We start from the raw sequence: 13,397 nt of genomic DNA, 5'->3' as shown, positions 1-13,397 counted from the left end.
CCCAAGCTGGAGTGCAGTGGTGCAATCTCAGCTCACTACAACCTCCACCCGCCGGGTTCAAGCGATTCCCCTGCATCAACCTCCAGAGAAGCTGAGACTGCAAGCATGCTCCACCACAGCCAGCTGATTTTTGTATTTTTAGTACAGACAGGGTTTCACCATGTTGCCCTGTCTGGTTTCAAACTCCTGGCCTCAAGTAATCTGCCCACTTTGGATCCCAAAGTTCTGGGATTGCAGGTGTGAGCCACCACACCCAGCCCACTGTTACCTTTTGGAACAGAAGAAATATATCTATTTGTCTAAAACAGAAATGTTATTATTTCATCTAGATGCTGAAAGAGACACCAGAGTCAACAAAAATGTGCAATGCATCTTCCTCCTTTGGGGGAAGATTTAAAAAGAAAAATTGACAATGAACAAGCTTACTTCTTATTTTTTCTCTATTGTTAAAATTCTGTGGTTTTGTTTACAAAAAGGTGACACTATTATTAATAACAGATTGATTAAAAAGGAAAATAATTGCAGCCAGTGAGGATTAAGGCTGCAGTGTTATTAAGTGGATCTGGCCTGCCACCTGGTGGCCAGAAGTACAATGACCACACTCGTTTTGGAAATGAAGCCTCCCTGAACTGTAAAGGAGTAGGAGGGAAGAATTAGAGGTGGGAGCTGCCTTGCAAACTAGCTTAGCAATGTCTTTCAGTCAGATCAAAATAGAAGACAGATGACAGAAGACAGGTGGCTTATTTTCTTAAAGATGTACAAAGAAGCCTTATGCTATAACCTCCACTCGTAAGTAGCATGATATAGTTTGGCTTTGTGTCCCCACCTAAATCTCATCTTGAATTATAATCCCATAATCCCCACATGTAATGCGAGGGACCCATGGGGGCGGTTTCCCCCATGCTGTTCTCCTGACAGTAAGTGAGTTCTCATGAGATCTGATAGGTTTATAGCAATCCGGCATTTCCTCTCCTGGCACTCATTTTCTCTCCTGCCGGCCTGTGAAGAATGCACCTTCTGCCATGACTATAAGCTTCCTTAGGCCTCCCCAGCCATGTGGAACTATGATTCAATTAAACCTCTTTTCTTTTTAAATTAACCAGTCTCGAATATTTCTTCATAGCAGTGTGAAAATAGACTAATACAGTAAATTGGTATTGAGGAAGTGAGGCACTGCTATAAGGATACCTGGAAATGTAGAAGGGAAGCGATTTTGCAACTGGGTAGCAGGCAGAGGTTGGAACAGTTTGGAGGGTTCAGAAGAAGACAAGAAGATATGGCAAAGTTTGGAACTTCTGAGAGACTTGTTGAATGGTTTTGACCAAAATGCTGATGGTGATATGGACAATGAAGTCCAGGCTGAGGTGGCCTCAGATGGAGACGAGGAACTTGTTGGGAACTGGAGCAAAGGTGACTCTTGCTATGCTTTAGTAAAGAGATTGGTGGTGTTTTGTCCCTTCTGTAGAGATCTGTGGAACTTTGAACTTGAGAGACATGATTTAGGGTATCTAGCAGAAGAAATTTCTAAGCAGCAAACTGTTCAAAAGGAAGTAGACTATAAAAGTTTGGAAAATTTGCAGCCTGAACATGCAATAAAAAAGAAAAACTCATTTTCTGGAGAGAAATTCAAGCCAGCTGCAGAAATTTGCATAAGTAACAAGGAGACAAATGTTAATCACCAAGACAATGGGGAAAATGTCTTCAGGGCATGTCAGATACCTTCACAGCAGCCACTCCCATCACAGGCCTGGAGGCCTAGGAGGGAAAAATGGTTTCATGAGCTGGGTCTAGGGCCCCCCCTGCTCTGTGCACCCTTGGGAATTGTGCCCTGAATCCCAGTTGCTTAAACTCCAGCTGTGGCTAAAAGGGGCCAAGGTAAAGTTCAGGCCATTGCTTCTGAGGCTGCAAGCCCCAAGCCTTGTTGGCTTCTATGTGGTCTTGAGCCTGTGGGTGCACAGAAGTCAAGAATTGAGGTTTGGGAACCTCCACCTAAATTTCAGAGGATGTATGGAAATGCCTGAATGTCCAGGCAGAAGTTTGCTGCAGGGGTGGAGCCCTCATGAATAACCTCTGCTAGGGCAGTGTGGAAGGGAAATGTGGGTTGAAGCCCCCACACAGAGTCTCCACTGGAGCACTGCCTAGTCGAGCTCTGAGAAGAGGGCCACCATTCTCCAAACCCCAGAATGGTGATCCATTGACAGTTTGCAACATGTGCTTGGGAAAGCTGCAGCCACTAAGCACAGCCAGGAGTGGGGCTGTACCCTGCAAAGCCACAGGGGCAGAGATTCCCAAGGCCATGGGAGCCCACCTCATGCATCAGGCTGAACTGGATGTGAGACATGGAGTCAAAGGAAAACATTTTGTAACTTTAAGATTTAATGACTGCCCTACTGGATTTTGGACTTGCATGGGGCCTGTAGCACATTCATTTTGGCCAATTTATCCCATTTGGAATGGGCGTATTTACCCAATGCCTGTACCCTCATTGTATCTACGAAGTAACTAAGTTGCTTTTGATTTTACAGGCTCATAGGCAGAAGAGACTTGCCTTGTCTCAGATGAGACTTTGGACTTGGACTTTTGGGTTAATGCTGGAATGAGTTAAGATTTTGGGGGACTGTTGGGAGGGCATGATTGTATTTTGAAATGTGAGAACATGAGATTTGGGAGTGGACAGGAGGGGAATGATATGGTTTGGCTTTCTGTCCCCATCCAAATCTCATCTTGAATTGTAATCCAGTAATCCCCATATGTCATGGGAGGGACCCAGTGGGAGGTAATTGAATCATGGGGGTGGTTTCTCCCATGCTGTTCTTGTGATAGTGAGTGAGTTCTCATGAGATCCGATGGTTTTATAAGTGTCTGGCATTTTCCCTGCTGGCACTCATTCTGTTTCCTGCTGCTCTGTGAAGAATACACCTTCTGTTATGATTGTAAGTTTCCTGCGGCCTCCCCAGCCATGCAGAACTATGAGCCAATCAAACCCCTTTTCTTTATAAATTACCCAGTCTTGGGTATTTCTTCATAGCAGCATGAGAATAGACTAATATATAATGAAATCTGGCTGGGTGCAGTGGCTTATGCCTGTAATCCCAGCACTTTGGGAGGCCAAAGTGGGCAGATCACCTGAGGTCAGGATTTCAAGACCAGCCTGGTCAACATGGAGAAACCTTGCCTGTATTAAAAATACAAAAATTAGTCAGTCATGGTGGCAGGCACCTGTAATCCCAGCTACTCGGGAGACTGAGGCAGGAAAATCTCTTGAACCTGGGAGGTGGAGGTTGCAGCGAACCGACATTGTGCCACTGCACTCCAGCCTGGGTGACAGAGTGAGACTCCATCTTAAAACAACAACAAAAAAAAGAAATCTAATCTATCAATTAAGATTATCTTAATTTCTGCAGCACTGCAAAACAAACATTGATGGAGAAGGAAATATGGATCTGGCAAGAATTATATTCTTCTTTTTTTTTTTTTTTTTTTTTGAGACGGAGTCTCACTCTGTCACCCAGGCAGGAGTGCAGTGGTGTAATCTCAGCTCACTGCAACCTCCGCCTCCTAGGTTCAAGCAATTCTCTGCCTCAGCCTCCCGAGTAGCTGGGATTACAGGCACCCACCACCACGCCTGGCTAATTTTTGTATTTTTAGTAGAGATGGGGTTTCACCATCTTGGCCAGGCTGGTCTTGAACTCCTGACCTCATGATCCACCCACTTCGGCCTCCCAAAGTGCTGGGATTACAGGCGTGAGCCACCGCGCCCAGACTACTTATTTTATTTAAAAGTAAAATAAGGCAAATTCAGAAGAGGAGTTCTGTATTAGTGAAGATTCTCCAGAGAAATAGAACCAATGTTATATATAGCCATGTGTCACTTAAGGATGGGGAAATGTTCGGAGAAATGTGTTATTGGGGGCTTCATCATTGTGTGAACATCATAGAGTGTATTTACACAAACCTAGACGATATAACTACTACACACCTAGGCTATACGGTATAGCCTATTGCTCCTAGGCTACACACCCATTCAGCACATTACTGGAGTGAACAGCACAGGCTATTGGAACACAATGGTAAGTATTTGTGTATATAAACATATCTAAACATAGAAGAGGTACAGTAAAAACATGGTGTTATAATCTTATGGGATAACCATCATGTATACAGGCTGTCATTGACTGAAATATCTATATGTAGCACATGACTAGATATAAATGCATATAAAGACTATATGTATATAAATATCTACATATAAATAAAGAGAGAGATTTATTATTCTTATAGAAATTGGCTCATGGAGGCTTATGGAGTCTGAGAAACCTCACCATCTGTCTGCAAGCAGGAGAACCAGGAAAGTCAGTGGTATAATTCAATCCAAGTTTAAAGGTCTGAGACCAGGAGCTGTGGATGTCCCAGCTCATGGACAGAAAGAGGGACTCTCTACCCTCTAACTTTTGTTCGATGGAGGCCCTCAATGGATTGAGTGACACCTGCCTACATTGGTGGGAGAGGATCTTCTTTACTAGGTCTACTGATTCAAACGCTAACCGCTTCCGGAAACACCCTTACAGAAACAGCCACGGATAATGTTTCGCTACCTATCTGGGCATCCCTATAGCTCAGTCAAGTTGACACATAAACTTAACCATCACAAGCGGCTATTTCCAGAACTGTTCCCAATGTGTTGTTAAACAAAGAGCACCCAGTTGAGTCGACCACAACCCTGGCTATACATATCACTTAAGAGGCTTGTAAAAAGTAAAGATGCCATGAATTTTACATTATGTGAATTTTACCTCAATAAAAAGGAGCCTATAGCATAGGGAGGGGGCGGTGGGGGGAAAAATTAAAAAAACTAAAAGTATGGATGCCAAACCCTCCGGTGTCCTCCCCAAGAGTGATGCAGAAGTGGGGCTCTGCCATCAGACGTTTTTGGGAGCTCACCACTGATGGTCATGTGCAGTCAGGGTTGGAAAGCACTGCAGAGATTGATTTTGTTCAGTAGGATGGATAGGGATTTTAATTGAATGTAGCAATAAAGACCCAGGGTTTTTGTTTTTGTTTTTGAAGAACAAACAAACAAAACTCCCAACATTAGAGCAGTCATAAGCCGATTGTAAAAAACCAATATTATCCAACTTCAAAAAATAACAATTAAAAGAGGTCAGACGCGGTGGCTCACGCCTGTAATCCCAGCACTTTAGGAGGCCGAGGTGGGTGGAGTTTGAGGCTGGTAGTTCGAGACCAGCCTGGCCAACATGGTGAAATCCCATCTCTACTAAAAATACAAAAATTAGCCAGGTATGGTGGCAGGCGCCTGTAATCCTGGCTACTGGGGAGGCTGAGGCAGGAAAATCGCTTGACCCCAGGAGGCGGAGGTTGCAGTGAGCTGACATTGTGCCACTGCACTCCAGCCTGGGTGACAGAGTGAGACTTCATCTAAAAAAAAAAAAAAAAAAAAAACGAAAAAACCAGCCTGGCCAATATGGCAAAACCATCTCTTCTAATAATACAAAAATTAGCCAGGTATGGTGACATACGTGCCTGTAATTCCAGCTACTAGGAAGGCTGAGGCACAAGAATCACTTGAACCCCAGAGGCGGAGGTTGCAGTGAGCCAATATTGTGCCACTGCACTCCAGCTTGGGCGACAGAGTGAAACTGTGTCTCAGAAAATACATACATACATAGATAAATAAAATTTTAAAAACTCAAAGGATCATTTTTAACTTTTCCTTGGATAGGCCCCAATAAATCTGTTACAAACAAAATACCCGAATCATGGTCCCCAGGTCTTCATTCCTTGTTAGGCTGAGATATGCTGGATTGTAGACTTATTTTTATACTGATTGTTAATTTCTCTCATTCATAACACTTTATCTAGTAGTCTCAAGATTCCATTTGCATAGATAAAACTGTGTTTAAAATGCTGTTTTCTGTACAGTAAGTCCTCACTTAACATCAATAGATTCTTGGTAACTATGACTTTAGGCAAAATAACATGTAATGAGACTAATTTGATCATAGGCTAATTGATATAAACAAGAGTTACTTTCCCACAGCATGTTTCTGGTCAGAAAAGACACAACCATTTCTTTTTTCTTTTTTTTTTTTTTTTTTTTTTTGAGACAGAGTCTTACTCTGTTGCTCAGGCTAGAGTGCAGTGGCATGATCTCAGCTCACTGCAACTTCTGCCTCCCAAGTCCAAGCGATTCTCCTGCCTCGGCCTCCCAAGTAGCTGGGATTACAGGCACCCGCCACCATGCCTCGCTAATTTTTGTATTTTTAGTAGAGATGGGAGTTCACCATGTTGGCCAGGCTGGTCTCGAACTCCTGACCTCAGGTGACCCACCCGCCTCAGCCTCCCAAAGTACTGGGATTACAGGCGTGAGCCACGACACCCAGCCAAGACCCAAACATTTCTAATATTTAACATTTAAATAAATGTGAGTTATACATACATTTAAGAAAGATTAATAAAAACAAGGTAACTGTTTACCCAATTTATGGTGAATTAGTGAGTGCCACTGGTCCTAGTAGTGGCAGTGGGTTAAATCAAGGAGTAAATATTTGGCCGGGCACAGTGGCTCACGCCTGTAATCCCAGCACTTTGGGAGGCCGAGGCGGGCGGATCATGAGATCAGGAGATCGTAGACCATCCTGGCTAACACGGTGAAACCCCGTCTCTACTAAAAATACAAAAAATTAGCCGGGCGTGGTGGCGGGCGCCTGTAGTCCCAGCTACTTGGGAGGCTGAGACAGGAGAATCACTTGAATCTGGGAGTTGGAGTTTGCAGTGAGCTGAGATCACACCACTGAACTCCAGCCTGGGCAATAAAGACTCTGTCTCAAAAAAAAAAAAAAAAAAAAAAAAAAAGAAAGAAAATCAGTGCTAAAGGAGACTCTAACAGAAAGGAAGAGACCCCCTCAGTGTCAGAGCCGTCTTTTGAGCTATCCAGTTGGGCATATTCTGCTTTGTTTTCCTTGATCCATGCCACATCCTGCATTTGCTGTGACCAATAAACAAAAAAGAGAAACAATCAGAAAGATTTCTGCCATCTAGCCTAAGTTATTGCCTTTTTTTCCTTTTTTTTTTTTTTTTTTGAAATGGAGTTTTGCTCTTGTCGCCCAGGCTGGAGTGCAATGGCACAATCTCTGCCTCCCCAGTTCAAGCGATTCTCCTGCCTCAGCCTACCAAGTAGCTGGGATTACAGATTCTCCTGCCTCAGCCTACCAAGTAGCTGGGATTACAGGCACCCATCACTATGCCCCGTGCCCAGCTAATTTTTGTATTTTTAGTACAGACGGGTTTTCACCATGTTGGCCAGGCTGATATCGAACTCCTGACTTCAGGTGATCCTTCCACCTCGGCCTCCCAAAGTGCTGGGATTACAGGCGTGAGCCACCTTGCCTGGCCAGTTATTGCAATTTCAGTTTCAAGTAAAATAAATCTTAATATGTGAGAATGCTATTTAATGGTTTGCAAAGGATTTACTTGTGTTCGCAACAATGTATGATGTAATTATCTTATCTACTTGAAAAGGAAATGCAGAATTTTTTTTTTTGAGATGGAATCTCGCTTTGTTGCCTCGGCTGGAGTGCAGTGGCACAATCTTGGCTCGCTGCAACCTCCGCCTCTGAGATTCAAGCGGTTCTCCTTCCTCAGACTCCCAAATAGCTGGGACTACAGGTGTATTTTGTATTTTTAGTAGAGACAGAGTTTCACCATGTTGGCCAGTCTGGTCTTGAACTCCTAACCTCAGGTGATCCGACTGCCTCAACCTCCCAAAGTGCTGGGATTACAAGTATGAGCCACTGCGCCCAGCCTGGAAATGCAAATTTCATTTGTACAGATGACAGACTAGCCCAAGTCCTAGCTCTAGTCAAGCAGCAGAGCTGGGATTCAAGTTGTTTCCTGCCTCCAGGACATCTTTCTAGTAAGCTCCAAGTGTTTCCCAAAGTTCCTTGACTGGCCTGTTTGTAACATGTCTTTCTGGATAATTTAAGTTGCCTAGTGGTTCAGTCCTATCAAAAACTACTATTTCAATATTTTTGAATGCCAACCATATGCCATTCACTGTTCTGACCAATTGTTGTATATCACTACACAAAAAGTTTCTGCCTTCCTGCACCTCAGGATCTAGAGAGAGAAGACATAATAAACTAGAAAATTATGTTACATGATCACTACGAAGCAAAAAAGACAAAGACCAAGGTTGAGAATGACTAGGAGAAAGGGAAGTAGGGGGAAGGTGTTGAATATTAGAGATGTTCAGAGTTGGTCTCCTTGACATAGTATCTAAGACTTGAAGGAGGTTAGGAACTAGCCAATTTTAGCACGTAAAATATGGCTTATTGTTACTTTTATCCTTTGAATACCATGTGCATATTGCTTAAAGAAGCAATAAAGCCATCATCATTCTTTTACTGAATGGTATGAAGCAACTTTGAGCCTACTAAAAGTGTAAAAATAGAAAACATGTTTCAACTTCTCACCCAAAAGTTCAGGATCACTTTATTCAAGTTTTAGGAGCTAAGTACTTCTAAACAGAAGTCCTAAGGGTCTTAAATACACTGCTTTTGAAAACAGAACTACTGAAATAGATGGCCCCACCGTGATGAAAACACACCAGGAGAATGACTTGTCTTTTGTTAGTCACTGTTGAAAACATGCACACCTGCACAATGGCATAGTGAAATGTCATTTGACTACTTTTAAGGGTGATAACTTCCTGTTATTTCAAACTCTGAAAATAATCTAGCCATGGGTACATATACTTAAGAAGTGCCCACAACCAGGAGGAAAAAAAAAAAAAAGGAAAAGAAAATGAGGCAGGGCCCTACACAGGGTAACCAAGCTGAGATCATCAGTCACAGCTTTTGGAACAGGGATTCTAGTATTTGTGTGTGTGGACTTTTTGTTGTTGTTGTTCAGCTACTTATCAAAGGTAAACAAAGGGGTGGGTCGCTGGGCAGTGGGCATAGGTGAGGAGGGAATTCTCCATTACTCAGACAGCCTGGACTCAGAACCACCAAAGGCAAAATGGACTTGTTTCTGAAATATTTGGTAGTTTCATGCAGCTAAAAATAACTAAAGTTAAATAAATGTTTGTAGCTTGTTTAAATCTGGCAAAGCAAAAACATCCAAAAGAAACCACAGCTAGAAATAGTTAATTACAAATTTTGTATAAGAACTAATATGAATTTATCAACTAGTTCATTTTCCAAAATGACTGAATTTGTCATTATTACAGCTGACTTGATGCTGTACCCACGGGCAGGTGGATATGCATGGCCCCCCTCCACACACCACTTCAAAATTACAACACACCTGTTCTATCTGATGGTACCAGTACCAATAGAATGCAGAATTGTAAGCTTAATAAGTGTAACACTCTCAAGACAACTGTAACTGACAAGACTTGTGTCCAAAGGGCCACTGCAGTGACCAGGGGACTGCACTGCACCACTCTGGGGGGGCTCTATTCATATTTTATAGTGATGAGGCAGTGCATGAGGCAGTGATCTTGTCTGCCTGGTTACTACTGTACATTAATCATAATTTGCTTTGTTCTTTTGCGATCTTAACTTCTGATTGCACAATACAGTAAAAAAATTTAACAATGCTTTGAAAGCACAATGCTTTGAAAGAGGAAAACAAGTCAGGGTTGGGGGAAAAATCAAGAAAAGCAGAATAGACTGCCATTCACAAGTAGAATGATTTGTCTAGTCTCCCTCCACCTGACAGGGTAAGACCCATACTGGGGAGCACTAAACCTGGATGGCACAGGCATTGTGTCTCTCTTGATGGAAGAGGCTTCAATGTTTATACTACATAGAGAGTGACCACATATTTCGTCCAATGGGGGGGGGGGGGTCATGTGACAGTGAAATAAGGAACCACTAATAAATCAATCAGGACAACCGGCATAATTCAAGACTATCTTTGGCAAACTTAAGATGTATGCTTACCCTACATATATTTGAAATCTTTCTACCGAAGTGTATGGAAGAGCTAAGGACTCACTCATCTTTGATGTTCATGTCATACTGGCCTCCCTAATCTCATTTGACACATCATTCAACCTTTATCCCCAGAGAGAAGCAAGTCAATCAGAGTAAGCCAATCTAACTAACAATCTAACTAATCTTAACATGGAACACTGGGCCAGGTTAACGAAGGGCTTCTTAAACTACTTTTAGCTCATGACAAGCCTCACAATGGCCTGACGGCACAAAGAAGCATTAAAAGCTTGACTAGCAGAAAACATGGAAGCGGCGCTGAGAAGAACTGACCTTCAGTAAAGAAGTGCCAAATCCAATCCAGCCTGCTGAGAAGTGACAGCATGCTGGCAGTCCTCAGAGCCCTCGCTTGCTCTCGGCACCTCCCCTGCCTGGGCTCCCACTTTGGTGGCATTTGAGGAGCCCTTCAGCCCCCCCACTGCACTGTGGGAGCCCCTTTCTGGGCTGGCCAAGGCTGGAGCCCACTCCCTCAGCTTGGAGGGAGGTGTGGAGGGAGAGGCACGAGCGGAACCGGGGCTGCGTGGGGCGCTTGCGCGCCAGCTGGAGTTCCGGGTGGGCGTGGACTTGGCGGGCCCCGCACTCGGAGCAGCCAGCCAGCCAGCCCTGCTGGCCCGGGGCAATGGGGGACTTAGCACCCGGGCCAGTGGCTGCGGAGGGTGTACTGGGTCCCCCAGCAGTGCTGGCCCACCGGCGCTGCGCTCGATTTCTCGCCGGGCCTTAGCTGCCTTCCCGCGGGGCAGGGCTCGGGACCTGCAGCCCGCCATGCCTGAGCCTCCCACCCACTCCATGGGCACCTGTGCGGCCCGAGCCTCCCCGACGAGCACCACCCCCTGCTCCACGGCGCCCAGTCCCATCGACCGGGAAGGAACAAACAACCCAAGGGCTGAGGAATGCGAGCGCACGGCGCGGGACTGGCAGGCAGCTCCACCTGCAGCCCCGGTGTGGGATCCACTGGGTGAAGCCAGCTGGGCTCCCGAGTCTAGTGGGAATGTGGAGAGTATATCTAGCTCAGGGATTGTAAATATACCAATCAGCACCCTGTGTTTAGCTCAAGGTTTGTGAGTGCACCAATCGACACTCTGTATCCAGCTGCTCCGGTGAGGACGTGGAGAGTCTTTATGTCTAGCTCAGGGATTGTAAATACACCAATCAGCACCCTGTGTTTAGCTCAAGGTTTGTGAATGCACCAATCGACACTCTGTATCTAGCTGCTCTGGTGGGGCCTTGGAGAACCTTTATGTCTAGCTCAGGGATTGTAAATACACCAATCGGCACTCTGTATCTAGCTCAAGGTTTGTAAACACACCAATCAGCACCCTGTGTTTAGCTCAAGGTTTGTGAATGCACCAATGGACACTCTGTATCTAGCTCCTCTGGTGGGGCCTTGGAGAACCTGTGTGTGGAAACTCTGTATCTAACTAATCTGATGGGTACGTGGAGAACCTTTGTATCTAGCTCAGGGATTGTAAATGCACCAATCAGCGCCCTGACAAAACAGGCCACTCGGCTCTACCAATCAGCAGGATGTGGTTGGGGCCAGATAAGAGAATAAAAGCAGGCAGCCCCAGCCAGCATTGGCAACCTGCTTGGGTCCCCTTCCAAAAGGTGGAAGCTTTGTTCTTTTGCTCTGCAATAAATCTTGCTACTGCTCACTCTTTGGGTCCACGCTGCTTTTATGAGCTGTAACACTCACTGGGAAGGTCTGCAGCTTCACTCCTGAAGCCAGCGAGACCACGAGCCCACCGGGAGAAACGAACAACTCCAGACGCGCTACCTTAAAAGCTGTTAACACTCACCGCGAAGGTCTACAGCTTCACTCCTGAGCCAGCGAGACCACGAACCCACCAGAAGGAAGAAACTCCGAACACATCTGAACATCAGAAGGGACAGACTCCAGACACGCCACCTTAAGAGCTGTAACACTCACCGCGAGGGTCCGCGGCTTCATTCTTGAAGTCAGTGAGACCAAAAACCCACCAATTCCGGACACACTTCCACAACAGCTGGTGTGACTTTGCCTCTGAACTTGGCTGTTATTTAAAAACTCCACTGTTTCGTAAAATCAGACAGCTTGTCGAAAATGATATGTAATGTCCTATCCAAGGACAAAATTTGTTCCTTAGGAAAATCCAGGAAGTAGGCCTACAATAAGCAAAGCCTACCTGGGAGAGACACAGCCCCTAAATTCAAACGATCTCTTTGGTTTAGCAATGGCCTACAGTCTCTTGCCCTACAGGGACTGTTTCAGATGTGTACAGAGGGTTAGGATCTGCCGCCATGTGTTTTTTGCTTTCTTTCAAATATTCATCCAGTCTCATTCCTAGGTCATGGATAAATCTGTTAGTTTCAAAATACAGTTCACATCTTAAACTCAAATATTAGCTTCCTTTTGGCTTTATCAGGGAACAGCACCTTGATATTTTTGTCATTAGGGACAAGTGTCCATTTTCAATGCCTTCATCAAAATTCCGTAATCTTACATAATTTTCTGCATGTGGTGCTGCTTGGCATGGATCTTTTATAACTTCCTACTTCCTTTTTGGTGACCTTGATATATTCCCTAACTCTCTACAGAGGTAGACATCACTTGGGGATATGACTGCAAGAGATTAGAGAGGGTTAGAGATGGGTCTTAAGGTTTTTCATGAAAGAAGTTTTCACTAATCTGTTTTCCATTCTCTCATTTAACTTGCATGCTCAAAGCCCACCCACATATTCGTTCCTGAATAACTGAACAAGACTTTCATATGGTCAGAAGACACCAAGCTTGTTCTGATGCCGGGAGCCTTGCCTAGGTGCTATTTGCTGCTTTGGGAGATGGTGGCTTCAGACTGACCAAGTTGTGATGGAGAGAGTAAGGTGTGGTTGGGACCTACAGCAAAACCTGGTGCAAAAAGCAATGACGCTCAAACTTCAGTGTGCAGCAGTCATATCAGGAGCTTGTTAAAAATTAGACACCTAACGCTGAGATTCTGAGTCAGCTAAATCTGGGAGATGGCCTAGACATCTGCATTTGTAATTAGCACAGCCCACCCCTTACCTCTACGTAGGCAGTCTTCCACCTTCAGCTTTCAGAAACACATAGAACAGTGACGATGCACTTATCTTTGGAGGAGAAAAAGCTCTCTCTCTCTCTCACACACACACACACACACACACACACACCACCAACGCAGCAGGCACACTGCCCCAGCATAACATTCACCCTTGAACAGCAACTCCTGCTCACTAAAGAACTGAGTAAACATATATGGGTCTGACCATATGTGAACATTCATCACTAACAGCTTTCCCCACTTAGTTCTTTTGTTCAGAGAGTCCACATATCATCTATTCTAATACATACAAAATAAAGGCAACATTGCTGAACTCAGTGGA

The sequence above is a fragment of the Homo sapiens genome, chromosome 12 (genome assembly GCF_000001405.40).
Source record: "Homo sapiens chromosome 12, GRCh38.p14 Primary Assembly".
Lineage (NCBI taxonomy): Eukaryota > Metazoa > Chordata > Mammalia > Primates > Hominidae > Homo > Homo sapiens.
The sequence above is the reverse complement of the archived record's forward strand: the minus strand, read 5'-3'. Positions refer to the sequence as shown.